The sequence below is a fragment of the Homo sapiens genome, chromosome 8 (assembly GCF_000001405.40).
Source record: "Homo sapiens chromosome 8, GRCh38.p14 Primary Assembly".
NCBI lineage: Eukaryota > Metazoa > Chordata > Mammalia > Primates > Hominidae > Homo > Homo sapiens.
The window spans coordinates 125,167,435-125,188,669 of record NC_000008.11 but is presented as its reverse complement, the minus strand read 5'-3'; the positions used below and the strand labels follow the sequence as shown (position 1 = coordinate 125,188,669).

The following is a 21,235-nucleotide window of genomic DNA, read 5'->3' as shown; positions in this document are numbered from 1 at the left end:
TCATTAAAGTGCCTAATAAGGCACTAAAAAAATTATATTATGAGAAAGTAAAGGCAAAGGTTACAAACTAACAGTTTTGTTTGAACAGTGTTTTTAAAATCTAGTAACTGAAAAACAGAAAAATCTAGTAACTTAGATTTCTGAGTTTTCTAAAACAACCTGAAGATCTGGCAACAGTGGGTCCACACCCACTCACAGCAACAATAGGCTGGCAGGGGTGACAGGTGTCCCCTTTCAGTAGCACAGAAGCTCTCAAGCACATGATGGTTTTTTGGAAGACTGCTGTGACCATCAAGGACCTGTGCTATGGTAATACTACACTGTACCTAGGCCTCATGCTGGAGTTCAAGGAATACAGCAGTAAGCAAAACATAAAAACCACTACCCTTGTGCAACTACACTGTGGTTTTGAGTAGATGCTGAAGGAGACGGAAAAGCCACCAACTAAAAATAGTAAAGCGAAGGTGTTCTAATGTTCCTGAGAAGACTTAATAGTATCCTTCAGAGAATCCTTTTGTAAAGTGAATGGCCGCTCCCTCCTTTTATCAGTTTTGAGATCTAGATTGGGTGTGCTTAAAATGAATCCATATTAATTGCTAGATTACAATGTGAATTCCTATGTCTCTATATGTCTGATACAAATATCATTGTCATTCAAAATGATTTATAACCTTCACTTGTAGCTGCAATTATCTCCATACCATATATTCTATATGTAACAGTGACCTAAATATACTGTCTAAATTTGTGGTGAACCTTTTCAGATAAGCATTTTTTTCATTAAAAGATAATATGATACGTTCTCCTTTAAGCTTAGCATTTAAATATACTAACAAAATTATATTGCATATTAAATTAACACTTAAAATTTCAGATTCACATTCAATTCTGTTTTTGAACATAAAGCAAAGCCCTTATATTTTGAAAGTTTCTAAATCTCAATCTTAGAAACTTTCAAAACATAAGGGCTTTGACAACTGCCCTCAATTTCTGCCTTTGCTGATGTACACTAAAATCTACAGGGCCTGATAGTCACGTAACAGGTAAATGAATAAAAGACGCCAGAAAGATTGCTTGATGACTTGAAGAAGTATCTATACAGAGGAGTTCACACATTCTAATTAAGTTCTCCTGATGTTAAAACTGCAAGAAACCATGAGCTGTAATATTGAAGGCAGTTTAAGGCAAGGAGAAGAGAAAATTATCCATATTGTCTAGCTAAATTAAAATTATTTCACCCAAGAAAGTCTGGTTATGTCTGCCTTAAACCGAATCATATTGTTTCATTTCACAACTTGGGCTAGTGAGAATATGATTACTGTTTAAGAAATTCTTCTCTGTGAAATTGTTCCCTAACTCAGTTATCACCACCATCACTATCCTAGTCATCTTGTCTAGAAGTGTAGAAGTTATCTTCGATCAATCTTGATTCTATGACTCCAAGAATTAGAAGTATCTAAGATAGGCGGTATCTGAAGGGAGAGTAGGCTGCTATTAAGTGACTCAAATCCAAGTCTTCCGTCTGCTAAGCCACATTCTTTCCATTATGCTGTACTAGCTCTTCCTCAATAACTTAAATCTAAAGCTTTTAGAGCTAGCAGAGTCAGTATCTCATTTAATCTTGGTAATGACCCTGAGATGTAAGCTGAGGCAGACCTAATTATTTCTAACATACAGGACACTGGGTATCTAAAGGATAAAATTCTTTGTTCAAAGATGTTATATCTAATGCCTAGTAATATCTATAAGACATAACTATTGGGAAAATCATTGTGTGTAACTGAAATATATTATCTTTAGAGTAACAGTATCTCTAAATGAGTGTAGTATATCTGTTAGGTTTGTATTCTGGGGATGGTAAATACTAGACATCTGTACTGCCCTCTCCTTTCCCACTGTTATCTTTTAGCACATTCTTTCCTACTGGGGCTGAACCCAGCCTCAAAATCTTTCTGTACCTACTGCTCCAGAGAGCCCCATATCAGTTGACTGGCATGGCATTCCTGTTTTGACTCTCCTCACTTAGGTCCCACATTGTATAACATTTGTTTCTGATGTTTTCTTTGCTTTTGAGTTGATATTTGTTATTAATGGTTGTCATATTATATCATGTTTGTATACACTGTCTTCTGCATGTACAGATTCCTGCTTTTTGCTTTTTATTTATTTCAGAGCCTCAACTGTAGTAATTCATACACAGTGAATCCTCAAAGTGTTCTGAATGTACTTGAGACAAATGGATGGTATTCAGGGAAAAAATATAAAATTAAAAAAATAAAAACTGCCGTTACTTCTGAATATAATTTAGATCAAGGGTCAGTAAACATTTACTGTAAAAAGTCAGATAATAAATACGGTAAGTTTTGCTAACCAGATGATCTGTGATGCACTCACTCAACCCTGCCATGACAGTGTGACAGTACCCACAGAAAACACATTAACAGGTGAGTATGACTATGTTCCCATGAAACCATTTATGGACACTGAAATAGAATTTTCATATAATTTTCACAAGTCACCAAATATTACTCCCCTTTTGATTTTTTTCTCCAACAGTTAAAAAACATAAAAATCATTGTTAGCTTGCAGGCCATAGAAAATCAGGAGGCAGGCTGAATTCGGTCCATGGCCCAGAGTTTACTGACCCCAGGCCTAGATCTAGAGTTGTCAAAGTGAGAACTTCTGGTGGTCTGCAAGATCTTTTCAGCAAGTTCAATTACCAATGTGTGAGACAAAATTTTCTTTGTGTACGTCAACAAAATAGACCAAATGCAGATGCAAATATGAGGAGCTAGTTACCTTCTATTTAAATAAGCCAAAAATTGAAGAGATTGACAAAAATGTAAAAGAATGCCACTCTTCTCAATAATTTTTCCTTTATGTTTATAAAATGTAAAGTGGTATCCCATATCAAATACTGTTTATATTAACATGTAATAGGCTTATTTTTCATATGTTAATATTTTTAGAATTCTTCAGTTTTGATTTCTAATATGATAAATGTCAGTTGATATAACCAATGAACAAAAGCTCTCTGGGGGCTCTCAGTAAATTTTAAGAATGTGACCAGGTGCAGTGGCTCACGCCTGTAATCCCAACATTTTGGGAGGCTGAGGCGAGTGGATCCCCTGAAGTCAGGAGTTCAAGACCGGCCTGGCCAACATGGCAAAACCTCGTCTCTACCAAAAATACAAAATTAGCTGGGTTTGGTGGCATGCACGTATAATCCCAGCTACTTGGGAGGCTGAGGCAGGAGAATCACTTGAACCTGGGAGGCAGAGGTTGAAGTGAGCCAGGGTTGCACCACTGCACTCCAGCCTGGGTAACAAAGCGAGACTCTGTCTCAAAAAAAAGAAAAAAAAAAATTTAAAATGTAATGGGAGCAGAAGACCAAAAACTTTGAGAACCAGCTGCTGAGCCACAGATAGATTAACTTACAGCTGGTGCACTGCCAGCAGAGTGTACCTAGGCCTGCCCTTGAGACAAAACCACCTGGGAGACAACTTCATTGCAAGCTGTATCTTGGCCTCTCCCCACCTAAAAGATTCCTAGCATTTCTCTGATTAGATCCTGATTTTGTCAAATGTAATCCCATGTATTTATGTTCTTATATAATAAAGTTAGTGAAGACATGGTGGTTATTTTCATAAAAGAACTCTTTGGATCTATGTAGACCATAAAAGCACTTCAGCCTTTACTCTGTCAAAACAGGCATCTAGAAGCAAGTCTCTCTCTCTGGCCTCTATTTTCTAATCTTTAAAAACAAAAAAATTATTATTGTAATTCCTTGCCGCCAGAACATATCTCAAAACAGATTCATTAGCTCATTTACATATCATAGTGTACCTTTGACCTGGCTACACAAATACTGTGGGAGCCTGATCCTAATTAGAACCCTCACAACAGTGTTAAATCTAAAGAAAGAAAATCCACTAGACATGGTACAAGTTTATACTTGTATCAACTTGTATTAGTATAATACAAGTATTATATTAATAATACTGCACTAAAATTACATTTTGCAAGTAAGGTATACAGATCTTATAGAGTATTTTTCAAAAGTATTAATATTTTGCTTGTTCTGTCATTTGAAATCTAAAAACTTTTTAAAATAAAATTCTAGGGGAAATTTTTATTTTAATTATTTTAGGGGAAAGTTATTTTAATTCCAGTGTTACAATATACAGGGAAACTTTATAAGGAAGTATTTCTTTCAATATAAATATACATAAGGTTTGACTGTCTATCCAAATAATGTGTACTGGTGGCCTGAGGAAACATTTTCTTTCTTTTTCCAACTCCATTTTAGAGAGATTTAAGAAGTAATAGCCATGATTTCAACATTTATCATTTTTTTGAATTATATGTTCTTAATTAGAAAGTGTTTCTCCATGAGTATGATTCTAAAAGTCTTCATCCTTTACCTTGTGGAATAATAACTTTGTAAACAATAACAAAAGAAGGAACAATTTATATTTTTGAATATTTGTCCTTCAACCTGTATTATAAAATTACTTAAAACTCAGGAATTGTGATTGGATGCTAAGTCTGCCACAGTTTATGAGTACTGGCTCCAAATAGTCAAATAAAATACATTTGGCTACTTAGACCAACACCAAAACTGAAATTCATTAGCATCTTTTTTTTTTCAAGATTGAAAAATTGCTATTTATTTGACAAAAAACTATTGCATTTAATAAAGAGATGTTAATAACTGGTACATATATTAGTTCAAAATATTTTCACTAAGCACCAAATAGAATAGTTCTCGGTCTTTTCACTGAGAATGCCTTTGAAAAAATGCCTATAACAATCAGTTTATTTAGGTTTTTAATCAAGAAATCGAAAGCTGCCAATCAGAGTTTCTAATTACCATGAGATGACCAGGTAAACAAACTTGAGGTCATATAATGTGAGCTTTTAAAAGCTTTGTTTAATCTCTACATCCCAACTGAGGGGTTTGTTGGCCTCAGGCTGGTAATCACAGGTCCATGTGCCAGATACTATACACACACACACACACACACACACACACCACTGAGTAATAAATATCATGGATAAAAGGTAAAGACTATATGGCCCATGTATATTTAAGGGGAATAATGTCTAATTCTCATGGCTATACAATTAATTCACTAGCATCTTTAAGATCAGAAAGCCATTGGCAAATTATTATCTCTTTGGGAAATTATTAATCATTTGAGGGAAGAGTGAAAAATACATTAGAAGAATGTTGGGAGCTGTGATGTTAAAAAAAAGAACAAAAATAAACTTAAAATATGGGGAAAATGCTTACTGGTTAAGTCTACAGTAAAAACAAAAGTCTCATCATGATTGCAAAACATTCCAAATTGTGAAACTTAAGTTATTTGTAAAATAGACAAAAGTGAGGCAGCTTCCTCAGTCATTTTTTGAGATCTCAGCATCAATTTAAAGAAAATGCTTATATTTAAAAGAAAGCCTATTTCAAAATACGAATCCCTACATTAAGCACATATAAGGACACGAGGTAAATTTATGTCTCATATCATACAACACTCCTGCTCCATGTGTGTGTAAATGAAGGTGTTGGGAGACTAAAGTTAGAAAAGGTTATTTGCTTCACTATTCACTTCTTTAAGAAATACAAGCGTCTCAATCCTAAAAGAAGCAAAGACTACAGGACTAAATAGATGCTAATGTGAAAAAATCAATTTATATAAAATTGGTATGTGGACCATATGGAAGAATGGGAAAAGAAAGGGCATATATACTTTACTGTGCAGAAATGATATATTATTTCTGGTAAATACTGTCTAAAAAATTTTTTTGGTATAAAAAATTACATTGCCTGCTCCAATTCTTAAGTCAAAATTATGTCCACTAAAAAACTTGAATGTAATAGTTTATTAAGAAGGCAACAATTTAAAAACCACATGGAATTTATACTACCACAATGCTAAAATGGATCAAGGAGATTTTGGTCTATAGTTGAGAAGATAAAGTGGTCTTCTGAGAGAAAACATAGCTAATATTACTCCAAAGAGGCAAAACCAGAATCAAAGTATGGTTATTTTAAAGCATGGCACAGCAGTTTAAAACTTGAACGATACCATTGTTATTTAAATAAAATAGTTTTCACTTTTATTTTGTTTTCCCAATTTCCCTCCCCAGCAATGGGACAATACACATAACTAGCTGCTGGGAAATTTTCTGAGCACTTTGTGGAAACTGTTGGCTTTCAGAAATGAGCAGGCTGATTTGAACCAAAAATTAGACAAAATACAGAATTGCAACAACAATAAAACGCAACTTAGAATGAGGATCAAGCCAAGCAGATAAGCAAACTTTATAAAATCAGTTAACTGGGGCTGTTCATCAAGTCAGTTCCCTAATTTCAAAAAGCCGAACCAAAGCAAAGCATGTTGACTTACATTGCTTCTTTAGTTCTTTCAGCTGTTGTTTAAACTGTACAAATTTTTCATTATTTTGAAAGTCTGCATCAGAATTCTTGCTCTGTAAAGCCAAAAATTTCTTCTCTACCAATAATTTTAAATCTGGTATTTTTTCTGGACGTTCTTCTTTCACCTAAGGGAGACAACAAAATTACCTGAGTTAAATGTTAATAATAATAGTGTTAACAAAGTTTTGCAACATTGTTTTTATCTCAGATAATTCAAAGCAAAAGATAGTGAGGTTGAAAACAATCTCTTGAACAAAGCACCAGAGAGGTTGGGACATGTTCTAGGACAGACTGCTGGCAAATACTGAAGGGACTCATTCATGCCAACTACTCATTCTATTTTGGCTTCCGTAAGCTAGTGGCCCTTCAATGATCCTACTAACTTGTTGTCTTCTGATAACTGCCAGGGAAAATCACAAATGTGGCAACTTCACCAGACCTGAGCATCACCACCCAAGTCTGCTCAGTCCTCTCTCACACTCACAAGTGGTTATTCCATCCTTCATGCTCAACATTTTTTTTTTTTTGGCCCTCCACCCTAGCAGGTCAGAGTCACTTCTGCTTTACAAAAGTGGCTGGGGCTTTAGCCTTGACCTTCCATAATGTCCTGCCATGCCAAGGAATAAGTGCCCCCTGGTTCTGTTCAAGGCTAAATTCTCAACCCATGTTCTCCTCCATCCCCAATATTATAAAATTATTTCCCAATATTATAAATTTTCAAATATGCAGAAAGGTTGAAGGAAGTATATTATGAACACTCATTCATCTACTTCCTAGGTGCCACAATTAACATTCTGCTCTGTGTATGTTATCACATATCTATTCATCTATCTATCTCGCTATCCATTCTCAACCCTGTTCTTTATTACATCTTCATCTCCTTCACAACAAACTTTCCTCTCAACGGGCTCTTTTCTCAAGAACCTTTACACAGGCTCTTCACACCCATTTTTTAAAACAAACAACCTCTTATAATCCCAACTCCCTGCCCCCAGTTATTTTCTGTTCATATTCCACCTCCTTGGGGGAAAAAAGGAGCCACTCTTTCCACCTTCTCATCCTCCAGCTTTAGCCACTATAGTCAAGCTGCTGCCTTATCACTTTGCTGCAGCTGCTCTCCATCAGGCCTTCATAATCGCTCCCTTTCATCACTGGCCCTTTCCTGATGCTCCTGCTGCCAAGCAAAACTCACCAAACTCTCTATTGTGCCCCATACACTTTAGACGGACTTCTACCACCACTCCAGGAATATTCAATTGCTTATTTTTATGCCTCTTTCCCCTAATAAACTCCTTGAAAGATGTCTGATTTATCACGGTATTACCAGTGCCCAGCACACAGTAGGTAGTACTCAACATGTATTTCAAATAAGTTAATCTTATTAGCTCCAAATATACCTACCCACTAAAAGCCACAATTTATTAGCTGCCATTATTATTAGTATATAGTACAATTTCTAGGCTGGAAGACAGCTTAGAGATAATCTAATCTTGATCTCCTCCCCCCAGTTTCACAAATAAATAAAATGATTTAGAAAGAAGTCAAATGACTTATCTTCTACATCCAACTAGTCAGAGGTAATGCTAAGACTACAAGTTAGATACAGAAAATTCTTGATATTGGTTCTAGTCAGTAGCATATACTTCTAATCTCTCTGAATCTGAGTTATCAATGCATATGAATTCAAAAGATTATCTGCAAAGTATATGCTTTAACTTTTGTCACAGAGAAAAGACATAATCTTCTTTTGCTTAATTGCTATGCATTTTGATTACTAAATAGAAAATGAGAATTAAGCATGAAACCAAAATGTGTAAAATTTATATTTTAGTGTAGGAACGGACTGTCTTCTTGTATTGCTAACCCCCAAGTGCTGGATTCACCATTAAAGAGAGTTTTAGAAAACATGGAGAGGCTTTAATGACAAGTGTTATATGTAATTAAGGATTTAACAGAAGTACTGTATGGCTAAAGAACGAATAAAGCTCAATTTGGAAAAGAGAAGATAGAAAGGCAATATAATAGTGCCTTATATCTCAAGAATAAGAGCTATTATACACGGTGACTAGCTATCCTCTACCTCTACATAATAGAACAAAATGCAAGAAGTTCAAAATTGTAGCATGAAGAATTGAGAGCAGACCTAGAAAATAAATTGCTGGTTCTTAGAAAAGGATTATAGGCGCTCTTTCTGGATTTATAAAATAAAATGGACTCACATCCACCTAAGATGTTAATGGTAACATTATAGGAAGACATTCAGGTGAGCCTTGTCAAGGTGTAATCAGTCTGAAATTATTATGTAATCTGGGATGATCTAAGCAGATAATAAGTAAAATCTGAATGTTGTTTTCCAACAAAGTCTCTAACACAGTCAACCTACTTAATTCCCACAGTTCCACTACAACCACTGCTGAGGAGGTGAAGACTGAGTGGGGGCAGTGAGGATGGAGGGGAGAGGCATTTTGAGGTCTGACAACATGACAACCTGAAATATGACTAGGAAAAGCTGAATAAACCAAATTTTTAGTGATTCACTGTGCTTTCCCCCCATAACCAGAACTTTTAGAAAACTGCTGTAAAGCACATAAATTCACTGCTGTAAATGTCTTCTCTGAAAGTTTGAGTCTGCATGGCCATCCATTGCAAAGAGAACTGACTGTACTCTAGCTATCAAAATGAAATTTAAAAACATTCAACTCATTATCTCTTTAAATCAATAAAACAAATGGGCACTAACTATTTTTTAATGGTTTCTTGCTTTGTTTGAATATCTAAGAGACACAGATTAATGAAAGGAAAAAAAATTGAGTGGCTAATCATGTAGCATGAAAAAGATAAAGATGCCCCTCTTTTCTTAGGAGAATTTTTGTTTGTTTGTTTTAAATTAAGAGACAGGGTCGGGCTCTGTCACCCAGCTGGAGTACAGTGGCATGATCACAGTTTACTGTAGCCTTTAACTTCCTTGGTCAAATTTCAAATACCTCAAAGAAATTTGAGATGGAGAGATCTACTAGATTATTAGGTCCATCCTTTTCCCAATAATAAAGTCTACCCAGATACAGGACTTAGAATCTCAGTGAATTAAAAGATACTAGGTATATTAATTTACTAGGGCTGCAATAACAAAGTACCACAGATTAGGTGGCTTAAACAACAGAAATTTAGTTTGTCACAGTTCTGGAATTAAGAAGTCCAAGATCAGGGCAAGTCCAAGCAGGGCTGGGTCCTATGGCATCAAATGGTCTTCCCTCTACACAGGTCTGTGTCCAAATTTCCTCTTAAGGACATCAGTCATATTGGATTAAGGCCCACTTACTGACCTCATTTTAACTTAATGACTTATTATTATCATTTTTTTTTGAGGCGGAGTCTCACTCTGTTGCCCAGGCTGTAGTGGCACGATCTCGGCTCACTGCAAGCTCCACCTCCCGGGTTCACACCATTCTCCTGCCTCAGCCTCCCAAGTAGCTGGGACTACAGGTGCCCGTCACCATGCCCGGCTAATTTTTTGTATTTTTAGTAGAAACGGGGTTTCACCGTGTTAGCCAGGATGGTCTCGATCTCCTGACCTCGTGATCCGCCCGCCTCCACCTCCCAAAGTGCTGGGATTACAGGCGTCAGCCACCACGCCCAGCCAACCTAATGACTTCTTTAAATACCTGATTTCCAAATACAGTCAAATTCTGAGGTCCTACTAGGGGTTAGGACTTCAACATATGAATTTAAGAGAAACACAATACACTGGATTAATGTTTATATCATTATAATTTAAAAATGAGAGAAGTTACTGAGAAGTAAATAGTAGGTACCATACTTACATGATAAAAATTTAATTCTGCCCTTTGACAACAAAAGGTCAGATTTTTCTGTACCACCCGCTTACTCATCCAGTATTCAGTGAGTGCTCTCTGTGTGCTAAGCACTGTAGCTAAAATGAGAGTAGACCAGAAGAGTGGATCAGGAGCAGACGGTCAACAGCTCTGGAGGCCAGGTTATAGAACTGAGACCTGACCCAACAGGCAGCGAGAAAGACACTACAAGATTTCAAGGGGTAAAGTGATAATGAGAGTTTAAAAAAAATGATTACTATTGTTAATGCCTGGAGGACACACAACTGAGAGGGAGGGAGAGGGCAGTTGCTGCCATATGTTAACTAATGGCAGAGGGGCTGGCAACTGGGATGCTGTTTTAGAAGCAGAATCACCAACTCTTGTTGTGAGAGGAAGACAAGAGAGTAATGATGCCTCCAAGATATTTAATGTGGACAGCTAGTCAAATGCTATTGTCTTGAGGAAAGCAGCACAAATCACTGAAACTGTAAGACTTTGAAGTGAAGTTACCTAGTACGAAGCTAGAAACATTTAAAATGAGGGCACTGGAAGAAAAAGAAGAGAGATGCAAAAGGAACTCTGAAAAACTAAAGAAGAAAACCAGCAGTGAGGAATGCTACAGAAGAAAGGAAAGAGAAAATTTCCATTAGAGAAGTGCTTGTCCTTTGGGGAAAATGATGCAAGTGAGCTTAAGTAAGAAAAGGGCTAATCCTTAAATCCACTGGATTTAATTATAAGGCATTCTGCACACAGCGCTGGAATTATGGCTCCATGAAGCTTCTCTCAGACAAGGATTATGTCCCTAGTGTCTGGCCCGCTGCCTGTTGCACAGTGGGTGCTCAGATGATGTGGGTGAACGAGTAAATTATCAGAAGGCTAAATTACACTGTGTTGAGATGAGAAAAGGGGTTAACAGAGTTCTGTGTGAACCAATGAATATAGTTTGATGGCAAAGGAGGAACAAGATGAGAAGCAGATCATGGGAATGAGAGTGCTAAAGATACTTGTTTATTTGTATAGAGGAACAGGAGCTAGAAGTTGTTATGATAGAGGAGAAAAAACTTTGAGCTCGGGATCAGACAGATCTGAATCCACTCTGGGTTGAAATTCTTCAACCCAGAAATTCTCTCATCTCTTAATTAGGAATCAGGAACACCCACTTCAGTGCTGTGAAGACTTAACTAAACCAAGCCTGTGTTTAACTCTGGCCCATAGTAAATGATCAAAAACTTTTATTCTTTTCCTTCTAACTTCAGCATAGAGACTTTAACAAAGTTGTGGGTAGAGGAGGAGGTGATAAAGAAACATACATAGAAAACTATTAAGAGAAAGCAAGTAACAAATTTCATTTGAGAAAACCATTCCAGTACTAGGGCAAAAAATAGAGAAGTCTGCAACCAGCTGGGAAAGCATGTCAATTGTCCTTACAGGTGTCAGAAATGCCTATGGGGCTAGACCAGCAAGGATATGAGGAAACTCACAATAAGTGCAGGCCAATAGGAAGTGGTGAGGACTGTGTGAAGTAATGGTACAAGTCCCAGGTAAGAGGAAAGCTGTTACTCAGCTGCCGATGTCTGCTGCCAGGTAAGAAGGCAAGCCCAGGCTTTTCCAGGACACTTAGAAATCGGGATCTTTATGAGACATTTTTCTGGTTTTTAAGACAATGTATAGTGTCGCTGTGAGGTAAATAAATGAAGCAATAAAGCGCTCACCTGTCTGATGCAGAAAATATTCAATAATGAGTAGCTGTTAGTATTGTTGTTACTATTATTATCTATCTATACATATCTCCAGTGTTGCTGAATACACAGGTCTATAGCTCATCAAGACTGACATAAAGACACCCACTTGGAGCAACCAGTGTATGGATTTTAATGGAAACCATGGAAATGAATGGGATCACCAAGGAGACTGGATAAATAGAAACAAAAAAAAGGACCAAGACCAAACTCTGGAGGATATCACATTTTAAGGGCGGCTAGAAGAGTTTAAAAAGAAAAAGTGTAAGAGTTAAGAAACAACCAAAAGAAAATATCCACAAAGTTTAGGAAGGAATTTCGAGATCTGTCAAATGCTGCAGAGAAGTGAAACTAAATAAGAAGTGAAAAGTGTGCATTAGATTTTTGAGTCACTAGAGACTCTAGCAAGAGCAGACATATGCGCAAAGGCTGACTCCAAATATCCAGGTCTTTGTTTAATAAATTGCTGCAAAAAGAAAGAAACAGTAACAGGAAGAAACACGCAAATCCCCAGAAATTCCACAGACTCTTCAACGAATTGCTCATTTTAGCTCAAAATCACTTGTGAATACTTAGCTACATGTAATTAGAACCCAACACCCCTGTGACTGCAACATTTCTCTATGTCAGCAAGGAGAAGGTAATCAATGAGTTGACTGTTAGGAACTAAGTTAGGGCTCCAAATGGCTCTGTCCATATAGAGGCTTGTTGTTTCAGGAAAAAAGATAATGGTAGAAACAAAAAGCAGAACTCAGTCCTCATCCACGCTGAAACTACATATTATTTTCACCATATTTTAACACAAATATTAAATGTATTTATATGATGATAATATAACTCATTTCTTTCAAACAATATTGTATGCACATGTAATTACTTAAAGTGTGTCATTTTATTGCCACGGGGCAAAGTCAAAGTCTCCTCCTCTTCCAATTATCATTATTGCCTTATAACCATCGTTTCACTGGGAGGGGAGATCACAGGAGCTAAGGATATTAATGAGCTGAGTCATTCACACACTTTTTGAATCATGTGAGAATCTAGTATAAAATTAGTCATTCCTGTAACTGAACCAAGACCCAGATAGATTGACTTTCTCCAAAACAGCCATTGTTAGATGTCTGCCTCCCAAAATAACACATACCCAGTGATTTACATTTAGGAAATGACACAGCCTTCAGAAGTTTATCACAGACACATACTAGTGATAAGCAGTTTGCTTTGTGTTCTGCTTAGTACTAGTACTCTAAGTATGCCAACTTTTTATTCCAAGTTTTAATTCATAGTGATCTAAGGTTATGGGACTGCTTTCATGCTAGAAATCCAGAGGGAATTGCCTCAACTGATCCTAGAACATTCATTCAACAAATAATTACTGAGTCCCAGTTGGGTGCCAGGCATTATGCTAAGCACCAAGACATTTAAGGAAGTTGGCCCACACTTAATGACACACCACCAACCCAATTCGTCATGCACAGGGTAAATTTATATAGGCCAACACTGTCTCCACCTTTATATAGCAAAAAAAAACTTGGTAAAGTTGTTCTTAAAAGGCATGCCCAAGCTGAGAATCATCATGCTTTCACTGGGTATAACCTAACTGCATGTACATATGGACACACTATATTTTCTAGAGTTTAGTATATTGCCTCTGTCCTATTTAAAAATCACACATACTAATGATGACCAGCATGGATTATACCCCTTCATCTCATGCCAGTTTCTGTTGCCAGTTGCACAACCTACACTGAACTCTATTGGACCAAATTATCTGTAGCTGAGTGTGTTTCCTAGTGCCATTATTTAGCATGGTTTTGACTTTTGACAAAACACTTAAGAGAGAATACTTCCTTGTTGAGCATTACGACACATCAAGTGGACTTCACGGTTTGCCAAGGTGTTGTAATACACTACTATTAAGTAGCAGCCAACCAAACATGGAAACACCTTTCCTCCTTCGAGCCTTTCGGAAAAATTGTGAAAATGAATAAGCTTAAACATGGGTAAGAATGTTATTTGTCTAGTTTGAATAGACCAGTCTTATTAGAATAGACAGTTGTCTAACAGATGGAAGCTGAATGAGGCAACCTGCCATCTATGTGCATCTGTTACTAAACATTTAGGCTGTTAAAAATTACTCCAATAAATTTCCCATGGCACCATGCCCACTATAATACGATGACCAACCGGAATGATTTATTTACACAGAATACAGCATTAGAATTCCCGTACTGGTGGAAAAGAAACGAAACTGATTTTACATCTCTGGCTTTTTGTGTTGTTTTGGCAGAAATTCACAGAAACATGCATTATTTATTTATTCATTTATTCATTCAGTAAATATTTACTGAACATCTACCACATGTGGGAACCATGCTAGGCCTTGGAGATATTATAACAAACAGACAAAAGTGGTCCCCATTGTGCTCAGAGGTTTTTGGATCTAGTGGGGGAAACAAATATTCAAATAATCAAGCAGATTATTGCAAACTATAAAAAGTGTTGGGAAGGAAATATATCAAGTGCTGGGAGAACATACAGCAACATAACTATACAGGATACCATTTCACAGGCAATCTTTTTAACAGTGCTCAATTTAAACACAGGTCATACTGAGGGCAAGGTGAAATGAGGATTATCAGTATTGTTGTTAACAACACTTTGCACTTACACAGCACCTTTCGTCTGAGTGGTTCAAAGCCTTATATACACAAAAATATCATTATCCCAATTTCACAGATATGAGGAATAGGCAGCTCGCAGTAGTTCAGCATCTTGCCCAAGGTCATAGTGAGTCAGTGTCAGCCAGTTTCAACTTACTCAAACCCCCGTTCACCTTAAATGTTTTACTTTGCTTGTGCCTCCAAGTAACAACACAGAATAGATTTAATTTTATGAAAACATACATGATTTCAGACATACATCCTAACTTTCAGTGGTCACTTGTCAGTCTTCATATGAAAAGACACATATTCTGAATATGAAACTGCCTTTCCTGTCCACCATACCTCTGCCATCCACAGAATGACTGAATGCCTCATTCATCACCATGGTATCTCACTCAAGATTTAACAGTGAAAGAGTACAATGATGGTATGATGCTAATGGATTGCTCTTCTTACCACATACCCTATCATCTAGAAGATCATCTTTCAGAATGCTGAAATCATCTTCTGAAGATTCAGTTCCAAATAAAATTAGATAGGGTGGTGTCTCCCAAGATGCTCAGAACCAGTGAATAATACAAAACATTGTTTCTCCCACAGCCATAATACAGGGCCCAGTAACCAAGGGACAGAAGCAGAATTAGTTACACATCTTCTCCTCCCCCTCATCACACCTAATGACCAACTTGCAATTCCCCCATCACTGCGACTCTGGTTCTGCTGGTTTAACAGTCTCAGCACCCAAGTGAAGAATGATTTCACCAAGGGACTCAACAATACCTCCACTGATTTGGAAGCTTAAACTGCAACCTAGCAATTCTGAACTCCTCATGACACAGAACAGGGACAAAAAGGGAGGTGACAGAATTGGTTGTGTTAATGAATCTTGATTATCAAGGGTAAAGAAGATTGTTGCAACAGGATGAGAGAAGGGAGGTGTGTGTCTGGAACCTGGAACACCTGTTGGTTTGACCACATCTAGCGGTGAAAGATAATGGAAGATAGAAATAACTCCATATAGGCAGGACCACCAACAACTCAAAGCCTCCTTCCTCACCCCTGTGAATGACAGTCTAAAGTGTTGTCAGATAAACGTCAGTCAGATAAAAATCTACAGATAAAAATCTACAATTAGCTGAGAGCTGGCTGAGGGCAAAAAGAACATGGAATGAGTAGTGGAGGAAGGGAATTAAAAATACCAACTTTGGATTCAGAACCAATAGCAAAAGCTAAGACTAAAGTATCTATTCATATTTATTTTTTGGTCTGACATAAACATATTTATGTTTTTAACCAATTTCCCCTTCTCTTTTTCTCCTAATGTTTTATAAAAATAAGTTGCTGGCTCACTAGTTGTAGAGCGACATAAGGCAACCTTAACAAAAGGAATAAGCTCAGCTCAGATATCTTGGACTTCAAGCTGGAAACGGTACCTGGTAAGATGTATCATTCCCCCTTTTGGGGAGGGGGAGAGCATATTTTTCGCTTTTAGAAAAATAGCTGCAACACCTTAGGAGGAAACATTTTGTTGTTGCTGCCACTATATTTGTAAATTTAAGTCTTGGAAAAAAGTGTACACAGAGGTTGAGTAGCCAAGCTTACCTGTCTAGAACTGTTTGAACATTTATCCTAAATCTGGGAATTTCTCACTTTAGGAGTGATATTGCACTGCAGTAAGAACCAGAAATTCTCTCAGCTTTCCCTGCAGCAAGAATACAGATATGCCACCTCAGTCCTTTGCCTGTAAGACTTTAATTCTTGAGAATGACACGAGGGAGGTGCAGCACAGAGGGTGGCTGGCAACAGACCCTGGAACCAGATTATCTAGGTCTTTAACCTTTAAATCCCAGTTCTGCCTTGTATTAGCTGTGTAATCTTGGGCAAGTTTCTTCACCACTCAGACAATCAATTTCTTCATCTATAATCTACTTAACCTTTGAGTATTAAATGAATTAATGTAGGTAAAGAATTTAGAGTTTTAAAATACAGTAGCCAACATGGTCATTAAAATCTAAATTAATTAAAATTAAATAAAATTAAACACTGAGTTCCTCGGTCACACTGCCAAGTGCTCAAGAGCTCTCTCTGCATGTGGCTAGTGACTACCACACCACTCTGGACAGAGCAGATATAGAACGTTTCCATCACTGCAGGAAGAGGCACTGGGAAGTGCTGACTTAGAGAATACTCTCTAGTACTTGGTAAGCACTCAAATGATCACAGCTGCTATTATTATTACTGGTATTCTTATGGTCACATTGTTGTTATTATTATTATTATAGCAAGTTTAAGATGTAGCCAGACAAAATCTGGTAGAAGAGATGAACAAGTCAGAAGCAATTTAAATGCTGTAATCTGATCAGAATTAGCAGCAGTATTAGTAGCAGCAGCTGCTCTCAACTATTTATTATTGGCAAGGTACTGAGGTAAGCACTTCATACTGTTTATTTTATTTAACCCTCCCCCAAACAAATAACATTATAGGTAAGAATGAATACATCCTATGCTATTGATTAGGAACTGAAGCTGAGGAGCGGTCTAATTACAAGGGGTTGAAGAGCTCAGTATTGGAGCTAGGACTGACTGCATTAGCAGGTCTGTTATATCGCTAAGTCCATGACATACTACTAACCCTAGACTTCAACTATTTACTTAGAGCCTATTAGAGGCCACACACTGCTCCAGGAGCTGGGAACACAGCAGTCAAGAGAACCAGTTCCTGCCCTTGTGGAGTTTGTATTCTACTTGAGTAGAAGAATAATAAGAAAATACGTAACTAGCTAAATGGTATAAGTGCCATGGAGAACAATTGAGCAGAGTGGAAATGAGTGAGCTCTTCTGTGATGGACGGTCAAGGCAGGCTTCAATGAAAAGACGACATCTGAACCAGAGACCTAAAGAAAATGAGGGGGTGAGCCATATAGTTGGAGTCACAGTAAAAAGGGTTTGGGAAGTAACAGGGGATGAGGTCAGTAGTATTAATCAAAGCAGGGTGCGAAGTGGGACAGATGACGGAGGGCTTTAGCTTTTATTCTGAGAGAGATGTGTGAAGGTTTTGCACAGAGTAGTAAAAACCTCTGATTTTCTTTTTAAAAGGGTCATTCTGGCTGTGAGGATGAGAACCACTTTAGGGGAGGAGGAGCAGAAGCAGGAGAGCAGTCAGTAGGCTGCTGCAGGCATCCAGGTAAAAAGTGATGATGGCATGGATTAGGGTGACAGTAGGAGAAACAGTGAGAGGTGGTTAGACTCTAAATACATGTTGTAGGTAGAAATAATAAGGTTGGCTGGGTGCGGTGGCTCACGCCTGTAATCCCAGCACTTTGGGAGGCCAAGCCGGGTGGATCACCTGAGGTCAGGAGTTCGAGACCAGCCTGGCCAACATGGTGAAACCCCATCACTTCTAAAAACACAAAAGTTAGTCGGGCATGGTGGCACATGCCTGTAAATCCCAGCTACTCAGGAGGCTGAGGCAGGAGAATCTCCTGAACCCGGGAGGTGGAGTTTGCAGTGAGCCGAGACAGCGCCATTTGCACTCCAGCCTGCCCAAGAGGCCAAGAGAGCGAGACTCTGTCTTAAAAAAAAAAAAAAAAAAAAAAAAAAAAAAAAAAAAAAAGAAATAAAGAGTAAGGTTTATTGATGGACTGGATATGGGCTGTGAAAAAATTAAGGAACAAAGGACAACTCTGGATTTTGGTCTAATTAAAAATGGAATAGTAATACTGCCATTTTCTAAGATGGGGAAGTCAGGAGGAACAGCTGGTTTTGGAGAAAAACAAGAGTTTAGTTTTGGAAGGTTAAATGTGCAATGCCTATGAGAATGAAATAAAGTGAAAATGAAGAGAAGACAGTTATATGTCTGAGATGTGGTTTTGGAGAGAGGACTAGGTTACAGCTACAAATGCTATGAAAAATGATTAACTTCATGATGTTATGAGAGCACATGAGAGTAATCCACTTGGCAAACAGAGATGGGATGATATCAGAGCAGGCTGTAAGAAAGGAGCTAGCCTCAGTCTGTGGAGAGTAAGAAAGAGTCAGCTATTTGGAAATGAAAAAAAAAAAGCACTCCCAGTAGATAGTGTGTGCTAAGGCCAGAGGCAAGAGAACATTCAAAGAGCTAGTGTAAAAGAATAGTACAAAATGAGACTAGAGAGGTAAGGAGGGGTGTACACCATGTAAAGAAATTTGAGCTTAAAGCTGAAAGTAACAAGGAAAAACTGAAGAAGGTAAAGTTATGGAAAAGGCAGGAAAAAAAAAATCAAATGTTCACTTTAGAAAGATCTCGTGGGCTACCAGATAAGAAATATAGGAGAAGACAGCAACTGTGTGCAGCCAGTGTGCCCAAGGGGACTGAAGACTGTGAACATGGGAATGGAGGTAGGTGAATTAATTTGAGAAGCAGGAAAATTTGGAGATGGAATGTAAAATGTGAAGAGCTAAGTAGGGGAAGTAAGGACGACAACAGATTTCTGATAGGAGAAACTGGGTGGATGATATTACCATTTACGAAGTTACAGAATCCCAGGAGAAAATCATGGGGAAAACGTCACTGTGGGACACTGAATTTAAGGAGCCTATAGCACATTTAAGTAGAGAATGTCAAATCTATCATTAAGTTTATGTGTGTGGTTCTAAGATGAGAAATCTAGAATGGAAATAAAGATCTGGGACTCAGCAGCATAAAGACAGCAATTCAAGTTATGAGCATAGATGCTATTTCTCAGGAAGAGTATGCAGTGTGAGAAAGAAAATCGAAGAACGGGTAGGAATAGCAGGCTTTACTGAGTGAAGAGATGAAGTAGGATCTACCAAAGAGATTATGGAGGAGTGACCAGAAGCTAGAAGAAAAAACAGATGTGTTGTCATGAAAGTCAGGGGAAAATAAAAATTCAGGAAGGAAGGAACAGTTGTCAATAGCAGAGAGGTCAAATAAGAGAACAACTGAACAATATTCTCTGGATTTGTTACTAGGTGTGTAACCCTGGGTGAGTCACATAACTGCAAGCCCTAGCTTCCTCATCTACACAAAAATGCTGTTATTATCTACTATACCCTGGTTGAGAATACATGGTAATGTGTATAAAGCACCTCAAACAGTGTTAGACATACTAGGCACTACAAATAGGCTTCATTCTTATTACCACATATCTTCTGTTTGTCAGACAGGCAGGCCAAAGTAACAAAAAGAACAAGCGTTGAAAAGCACCAAACTATACCTATAGTCTGAAAGCCTGTGTGCCCTCCAAATTCATATGATGAAATCCTAACCCTTAAGGTGATGGTATTAGGAGGTGAGGCCTCTGGGAAGAGATTAGAGCACGAGGGCAAAGCCCTCATTAATGGGACTTGTGCCATCATAAAAGAGGCCCCAGAGAGCTTGTTTGCTCATTCCATCTTGTGAGGATATAGCCAGAAGGTGCCACTAAGAACCAGAAACTAGGCCCTCACCAGATGCTGAACATGCCAGCACCTTCATCATAGATTTCCCAGACTCCAGAACTGTGAGAAATACATGTCTGTTGTTCATAAGCTACTGGTTTATGGTATTCCATTACAGTAGGCCAAATGAACCAAGACAAATGTCCATTTGTCTTTGAGAAAGGGCAACTGGCAGAAAAGACTCTAGACAGTCTTCTTCCTTTTCTTCCATCCTCCTCCCAGTGTTTCCTTTCTCACTCCTTCTAAATGCAGCTTATAACACAGAAACTTCCAAGAGCTTGTCAATGGAATCTATTTAAGCACATCTCAGCATTTATACAAAGAACAGTGTTTCGCTGCCATTCACTACAATCTTCATGAGCTTGTGATATAGACATTATGCTCTTAGGAAGAGGCAGCTTAAACTCATAAGTAGTCCACAAAAAAAAATAAAATCTTTCATAGAAATTAAACCCATCGATTAGTGATTTCAAAAATTCTTCCAACAGGTTTTGAAATGATAAGCCAGGTAATGTTTATCAAATGAAATACCCGAACTGTATGATTAAGGAGACCTTTGAACAACCAAACTGACTTTCAGCTTGGTTCCAACATTGACAAAATGAGTCAGAGAGAAGTTTCCCAGATGGCACTCAACATATATTTTCCTATCAAGGATTAAAGTTCTGTCTACCCTTTCCTGTCCTCACCTCCTCAAAGACATCACAGCATGTGGAACTGAGAAAACTTCCCCCAATGCTTGCATTTCTAATGTAGAAAACATGTTTCCTAAAATAAAAAAAAAAAATCTTACAAGAAAAAAAAAAAGAATTCCACTGATTTTTCCCCCCAAGTCTAGCCTAAACTATTCCCATCCCTTTAGCATAATTTCTTCCATAGCCTCTTTGCCTTAGGATTGACTTTGCAATTTTTTTTTTGAGACTGAGTCTTGCTCAGTTGCCAGGCTGGAGTGCAGTAGCACGATCTCAGCTCACTGCAACCTACGCCTCCTGGGTTCAAGTGATTCTCGTGCCTCAGCCTCCCGAACCCAGCTAATTTTTGTATTTTTAGTAGAGATGGGGTTTCACCATGTTGGCCAGGAGGGTCTCAATCTGCTGACCTCATGATCCGCCCGCC

General features: G+C 37.8%; 1 protein-coding gene across 16 annotated transcripts in view; it reads right to left on the bottom strand.

Moving 5' to 3' along the window:
- NSMCE2 (NSE2 SUMO ligase component of SMC5/6 complex) overlaps positions 1 to 21,235 on the bottom strand; it is a 275,261-nt gene that overhangs the window by 178,451 nt on the left and 75,575 nt on the right. For 14 of the 16 annotated variants that reach the window (NR_146191.2, XM_017013331.2, XM_047421702.1 and 11 more), the window contains one exon: positions 6,414 to 6,567. Coding sequence is in view for 14 of the 16 variants with exons in the window: in XM_017013331.2 (XP_016868820.1) it covers positions 6,414 to 6,567 (154 nt within the window). In the remaining 2 variants the exon portion in view is untranslated. Of the gene's footprint in view, positions 1 to 6,094; positions 6,568 to 21,235 lie in introns of those variants that run through there. The other 2 variants (NR_146192.2, NM_001349487.2) reach the window with 1 other exon arrangement.